The sequence below is a fragment of the Homo sapiens genome, chromosome 7 (genome assembly GCF_000001405.40).
Source record: "Homo sapiens chromosome 7, GRCh38.p14 Primary Assembly".
NCBI classification, from domain to species: domain Eukaryota; kingdom Metazoa; phylum Chordata; class Mammalia; order Primates; family Hominidae; genus Homo; species Homo sapiens.
This window is the reverse complement of record NC_000007.14, coordinates 89,489,830-89,497,142: the sequence shown is the minus strand read 5'-3', so window position 1 is coordinate 89,497,142 and position 7,313 is coordinate 89,489,830. Positions and strand designations below refer to the sequence as shown.

At 35.4% G+C, this 7,313-nt stretch overlaps 1 long non-coding RNA gene across 14 annotated transcripts in view; it reads right to left on the bottom strand.

The window, feature by feature from the left end:
• Nucleotides 1-224: 224 nt before the first annotated feature.
• The window catches only part of LOC105375387 (uncharacterized), a 52,989-nt gene continuing 45,900 nt past the window's right edge, over nucleotides 225-7,313 (bottom strand). For 3 of the 14 annotated variants that reach the window (NR_187914.1, NR_187916.1, NR_187917.1), the window contains one exon: nucleotides 225-509. This is a non-coding gene — a long non-coding RNA (uncharacterized LOC105375387). Of the gene's footprint in view, nucleotides 510-2,409; nucleotides 3,031-4,654; nucleotides 4,751-5,432; nucleotides 5,509-6,318; nucleotides 6,436-6,529; nucleotides 7,024-7,313 lie in introns of all 14 variants that reach the window. The other 11 variants (NR_187924.1, NR_187912.1, NR_187919.1 and 8 more) reach the window with 9 other exon arrangements.

Below are 7,313 nucleotides of genomic sequence, written 5' to 3'. Positions count from 1 at the left end.
TTCCCATCTTTCCAAAGCTCATATAGACTAACCTTGTGTACATACAATCAATTAAAACCTTGAGTAAGGGTAATAGTGTGGTTTTGTCAGAGACTGCAAAACACTTTAAAGATACTGCCTTTTTAGTCCACAAGAAGTCCTCATGAAGGATATACTATTGTTTGTATGTTTTGGATGGAGAAATAAGTAACATTTTTGAGTAATTACTATAAACTAGGCACAGCTTCATGTATTAAATATGCATTAATTTATTTAAACCTTACAAATAGCTTATGAAGTAGTTATCTCATTCAGTTAGGATCTTTGCAGGAAAAGAATGGCTCAAAATAAGATAATACAGAGACTATGACAAAGAAACAATGCTGAGGCACCTAGATCAGCAATTTTGTTAAGCTATTGCACCCTGAGAGCCAAAGGGACTGAGAGAGAAGATATGTGATGAAGCCAGCGTTGGAGCCATGATGTGGGGGTCAGTTGGCAGGTGCTGTAGTCCAGAAAGGTTGAAGATGCTATCAAAGACAAGAAGGAGAAAAGAAAAGCAAATTATCTCTCTGAAAAACTGATTCTTGATGTTACGCACATCATTTCTGCTTACATCCCATTGACTAGAACTTAGCCTTGGTCCCATGCCTAGATGCAAGAGCTCCTGAGGAATTTAAATTCCATTGCTAATTATCAGTAGTCATGTACCTAAATGAAATCTGGGGAGAAATTATACTGGAGGACCAAGGGGAGCTGTTGACATACTACTCATTCAAGGAAACTGAAAATAGGGTGTGGTAGAATCTGGCACTAACTGGCTTTATCAATTTGGGAATCTATTAATCTCTCACTTTTAAAGTTTATTATTTAAAACAACAATTTTCATTCATTTACAATGATGCTTGATACCAACTATTTGCTGATTTAATAGCTTTGAGAAAAGTGAGTAGAGTTTAGTACTGAAATCTAATTTCTATGTACCAAAATGTGCTACTTAAGTGTCTGTCCTTAAGGATTAGAGGCAAATGTCTTTTATAAAAATGCCTTTAGGATTCCTGTCTGTCATGGTACATGAATAATTTAGTTTGATGAGGTTTGGATTCAGCATCAATCAATATCTACGGAATGAACATCACGTTTTGTGTGTTCATATGTTGGTTAAAGTCTCAGGATTCAGACAATTGCTAACACCATTAGGAGAGCAGTAGTTTTCAAAGTGTGGTCCTCTGACCAGAAGCATCAGCAAATTTTTGGGCTGAATTAGATCTTCTGGTGTTGAAACCAGGGAACTCTTTTAATAACTTTTCAAGGTGTTTCATAAACGTGTTAAAAATAGAACTACTGGCCTAGACCAGTAGTCTATAGTGACTTGAACTTATAGAGCCTCAGTTCCATCCTTTCTCAGAAACAATAACTGTAACTACATTTTAGAGTTATTTGGAGAGTTAAACAGTGTAACAAAGGTAAAGCGTTTAATAAGGCCTGGCAAAGAGTAAAGGCACAATAAATATTAGCAGCTTGCTTTTTTTTTCTTTTTACAATTAGTAGTCTTTGATCTATTATTTTTTATAGGAAATATGCAATGAAAAATATTGGGTAAAATTTTTATGAATAATGATTTAGAATTCAGAAACTATGCCTTCTAAGTATACTCCTGTATAATTTTTTTTAACTCTTACTTTAGATTTTAGGTACATGTGCAGGTTTGTTATATAGGTAAATGTTTGTCATGAGGTTTTGTTGTACAGATTATTTCCTCACCCAGGTACTAAGCTGATACCGTTTGACTCTTTGTCCCCCCGGTAAATTTCATGTTGAATTGTAATCCTCAGTGTTGGGGGAAGGATCTGGTGGGACGTGATTGGATCATGCGGACAGTTTCCCCTTGTTGTTTTTGTGATAGTGAGTTCTCATGAGATCTGGTTGTTTGAAAGTGTGTAGCACTTTCCCCTTTGTTTTGCTCTCTCTTTCTCCTGCTGCCACGTGAAGACTTGCTTGCTTCCCCTAGCCCTTCTGCCATGATTTTAAGATTCCTGAGGTCTCCCCAGCCATGCCTCCTGTACATGTACAGCCTGCAGAAGTGTGAGTCAATTAAACCTCTTTTCTCTGTAAATTACCCAGTCTCAGGCATGTCTTTATAGCAGTATGAGAAGGGACTAATACATAAGCCAATTACCCAACAGTTATTTTTTCTGATCCTTTCCCTCCTCCTACCTTCCACCCTCAAGTAGGCCACAGTGTCTGTTGTTACTTTGTGTTCATAAATTCTCATCATTTAGTTCCCACTTATAAGTGAAAACATGCACTATTTGCTTTTCTGTTCCTTTGTTAGTTTGCAAAGGATGATGGTCTCCAGCTCCATCCATGTTCCCACAAAATATCTCATTCTTTTTTATGGCTGCACAGTATTGCATGGTGTATACGTACCATATTTTCTTTATCCGATCTGTCATTGATGAGCATTTAGGTTGATTCCATGTCTTTGCTATTGTAAATAGTGCTACAATGAAAATTTGCATGCGTGTGTGTTTATAGTAGAGTGACTTATATTCCTCTGAGTATATACCCAGTAATGGGATTGCTGAGTCCAATGGTAGTTCTTTTTTAGCTCTTTGAGGAATTGACATATTGCTTTACACAATAGTTGAACTAATTTACACTCCCACCAACAGTGTATAAGTGTTCCCTTTTCTCTGCAACCTCGCCAGCATCTGTTATTTTTTGAGTTTTTAATAATAGCCATTCTGACTGGTGTGAGATGGTCTCTCATTGTGATTTTCATTTGCATTTCTCTAATGATCAGTGATATTGAGCTTTTTTTCACATGCTTGTTGGCCATGTGTATATCTTCTTTAGAAAAGTGTACGTTCATGTCCAGGTCCAGACCTCCAAGGTCTATTCTTATTAAGTAAGAAAAGGAAGTATCTGTTCAGGAGACAATAAAATGTAGTTGTTACAGCCCCAGAAGCAATATTGCCTTGACTCAAATCTCAGCTCAACTCAGATCTGGGAAAGTTGCTAATCCTCTTCCTTTCTGTGTTTCTGCATCTGCATAGTAAGCATAATAAACAAAGTTCCTTCTATCATAGAGCTGTCGTTAGCACAGATAGTTAAGATAGTTGCTTTCACAAAAAAAAATTTAATTTAAATGTTATCCTTCACAAAATAAAATTTGAATTTAAATCTACTATTATTCCCAGGCAATTATGCTTGAAGAAAAAGTGTTTGATGCATTTATTCCAGTACATTATTGCACATACAATAAATTCATTTCTTTCTTCTAATATTTATTTCAATAATTCTATCTTGTTCTTTCCCTTAAGAAAAACTCTCCCCGCTCCCCACTTCATAAAACAATTCTTCAAAACATACACTTTTTGTAATTGTTTACTTTCAATTAGCTCCTAAGCACCTCTCCCAGGTGAATTAAAGCTGAGGAAGAATAAAATAGAGAGACTTTAAATAATTATAAATAAAAATGTATGTCTGGTCATGTTAAAGGCTCAGAATAATCCTTAAATATTCCTTTAAAGTCTACTTAATTTTTTTCCACAGGTAATATGTACTTTTCTATAAATATAAGCTTTCTATGCTGAAGAAAATCAGGGTGTATACCTACATAAAATACTTTTCTGAACCCTAAAGCCAATTTAACATTTCATGTCACTTTTAAAGTTTTTCTCACTTCAACTAGAGCCAATCATGTTGTCTGGGATGTTTGGTAATTGAGTTTCTCAAGGAATATGTGACACATTGTGATGTACTGTAAAAGGATTTCAGAGTTATCCATTCCCAGACCCTTCATAATCCACTAAAAATACATTTCAGTGTCCCCTGACTGTGCCTCAGGAGGCCCTACCAACCTCATATTTCTTAATCTGATCTTATTTTCTGGTCATCAAGTTGATTTCTCAGTGACTGGCAGCACTAGGTCTTCTTGAATAGCCTCATGCCTATAAATCTTTATCTCTATTTTTAAAATTTTACTCCCAGTCTATGTTGATCTTAACGCCTAAATTTTTATCACTTGTAGCCTGAATTACAGGTGACCTTTTCAATGCTATCGGTCAAGTTTCCACTTAATAAGGCTGGAATGGCCCTTGTCATTTATAAAATGAAAAATGAGCAGTTCTGAATGAAAAGTGTGGGATAGAAGGAATAGAAATACACAGAAGGAGGGAGAGGGAGAGAAAAAGAGGACAGAACAAAACAGTGCTGAAGAAGTTGAGGGCCTCACTGCCTGTATATTTTCCCTTCATGTTTAATCTATTCTGTTCCCTGTTTTAAATGAAAGATTGTTCACCATTTCTGGAAAAATAGGCAATTAGAATCCCATAACAAGCTGCTGTGAATAAACTAAATATTTTATATGGTGAATTAACTATTAGGAGAAAGAAACTCAACAATTTTACTACTGGCCTAAGTGTGTCTTTTTATAATAATAAAAAATGAATCACTTACAATTTTGTATTTTCTCTGTAATTTTAAAAAATACTTTTGGAAAGAATTTATGTATAACAGTGCTTCAAAGAAGGTGGGTATTTCCTTTTACAAAATATTTTCTGTCTAGTACCCAACCCTAATTGAACAGAACAAATGTAATTATGATGCTGGAGAGCACGTGATCAACATCCATCTTATACAAACTAGGCTTTTCTTTTTAAGTGATCACCTTCTCTCATCCTGATTCTCTGATAAATATGTCAGTTATGAAGTTCATTGTTCAACACGCATGTATGTAGCAGGCATTTCCGCAAGTCTATGGCAACTGTTAAAAGAATAAACCACAGATTTCACTGTCTAAAATTTGGGTTCAAAAGAAATAGACACATAGCTAAAATGGATGTTCACCTGGGGAGAGTGATACTTTGACTTGTTTCTTTAACTGTTTGTTATTGTATAAACCTCCTATATAATTCAGAGTATTCCAATAACATGAAACAAATGCTAGATTAAAATAATGACAACAAATACAATTTGGAAAGAAAACAGATTGCTGCCTGTGTGTGAATCAAATAGAACAAGCAATTGGATCACTATGCATCTAAGGAATTCAATTTGAATTCTTGGTAATTTTAGATAGGAAGGTTGATTTTGAACAGACTTAATGGAGTGATAAATATAGAAAAGTGATACATAGTATGATGTGTGTGTAAGAGCCCTAGCAATGACCCTATCCTGCCCCACCTCCACCAGTCATTACTAGATTGACTCTTTTGTGCAGTCTGGAAATGAAGTTAGTTTATGATTCTATTCAATGGGCATTTATTGAGCAACTACTGTATAATCTAGGTATAGTTAAGCCTTCTAGATTAATACAAATATATTATAAAGTAGCTATCTAACTTAAGTTCCAATTTGTAGCAGTTGTCGAGGAAAATGACATTGGTAAAACAAATAATATATTTTCCTTTGTTAAATAGTACAGTGTATAAAATATTAAAAATTACCTCAGAGCTTCCTGACATGAAAGAAGTTAGAGCAATATTATTCAAACCATGTTCCAAGGTATCTCAGTAAGAGAATCTGTCAGAAAAAATGTTCATGGTGAAATATGGATCATGGAAAATGCTGAATACTGTAATATCGTCTTGGAAATTCTGCATGTGCATTCACATAGTAAAGGCTTTGAGAATTGCTCCAGATAATCTTTTTATATTTGTTACTTAAACTCCTGGTACCTACATGCTTTATATGAATTGCAAAGCAATTCTTCAATTCCAAACAAAAGTATCTACTGTTTTCTGTGATGCCTTGAATAATTAATCAAGACTACATAAGCACAAGATAGGAGATATATACATACACATACACACACCAAAGAAAATGCCCATTATTAAGAAGTATGAATAAAAGATACACTGCCAATTCAACCATGGTACATGCTTTCTTATCACAGGTATTTTACTTTATAATTACTGAAAGATACATTTTCATGGAATTTCATCGCATAATACTTCTGTGCTTTTATTTTATTTTTTTTTGAGACAGAGTCTCGCTCTGTCGCCCAGGCTGGAGTGCAGTGGCGCGATCTCGACTCACTGCAAGCTCCGCCTCCCGGGTTCATGCCATTCTCCTGCCTCAGCCTCCTGAGTAGCTGGGACTACAGGCACCCGCCACCACGCATGGGTAATTAATTTTTTGTATTTTTAGTAGAGATGGGGTTTCACCGTGTTAGCCAGGATGGTCTCGATCTCCTGACCTCGTGATCCACCCGCCTCGGCCTCCCAAAGCTGTGCATTTATAAAACTACAAACTATACATGCAATAAATTGGTTAAGATATTCCTGAATAATTATTTATATTTCGGGTTTGAACTTTGAAATCTCTTTTTACCAGGTTCACAGGGGGAAACTGGAGAATGGAAGCTATATGTGAAGGAAGGCTAGGCAGAAAGCTTGAAGGAAATTGGATTTTGATGGCTCCTTAAGACCAATCATGGTTTGCTAACTTCTGTAGAAGAATAAAATAAACTGATTAGTAATTTAGGCCACCATTTGCCAGGCTATTTCTTGTAGAAAAATACAATCCTAGTGGATATACTTGCCATTCTGTGTTCCATGCCCTTGCAGGAGTGTGACTTGTTCAGTGTTTCTTTCAGCTATTAAATTAAGGCAGTGAGTTAGATTTGAATGTGATGCAGGTATTCAGATATGCAAGGAAACAGTAAGAACAAGCTTTCTAGTGTGATCACCATTTTTCACACATGGATGAATATGAGTGTAGTTAAATCAAAAGTGAGATGAGACCCTGAATCTTGAGTCCATTTCAGAAGAGTGATACGGTGCACATAAACTTGACATTCCAAAAGAAACAATTCCATGATAACTTTGGCTCTAACTCTTGATGTCAGAGAGAGACTTAACCATCTGTCATCTCAACAAACCAGAGTGTTCAGAGAGGTAGACTTTGTATGGCCTATTTCTCTGTGCTTCTTAGCCTCCCGTTGACAGCAGCATAGGAGTGAGGGATCTTAGGGTTTCTTGAGGTTAAAATACAGCTGAAGCATCATTGCGGGAGTGTCCCATCAGATTAGAGGAACTTTAAAAAATAAAGGAAAGTGTAAATTATTTTATTGTGAGTTTAAATTCTTGAAATATTTTATATTCTCCATCAGATTATTGTTGTCATAAAATAGCCATAATTCCTTAGAAAATTCTTATATTTTAGGAAATTTTGACATACTACTTCATGTTTGCACTTTTCCTTTGCAAATGAATCTTTGGGTCCCTCATTTGTTAGGTACTACTGGGTTCAGTAACTGTCACATTCTTTAATGTCATGTGCCCATTTTTCTTATGGTATTTATCATATTCTAAACTTATCAGGTT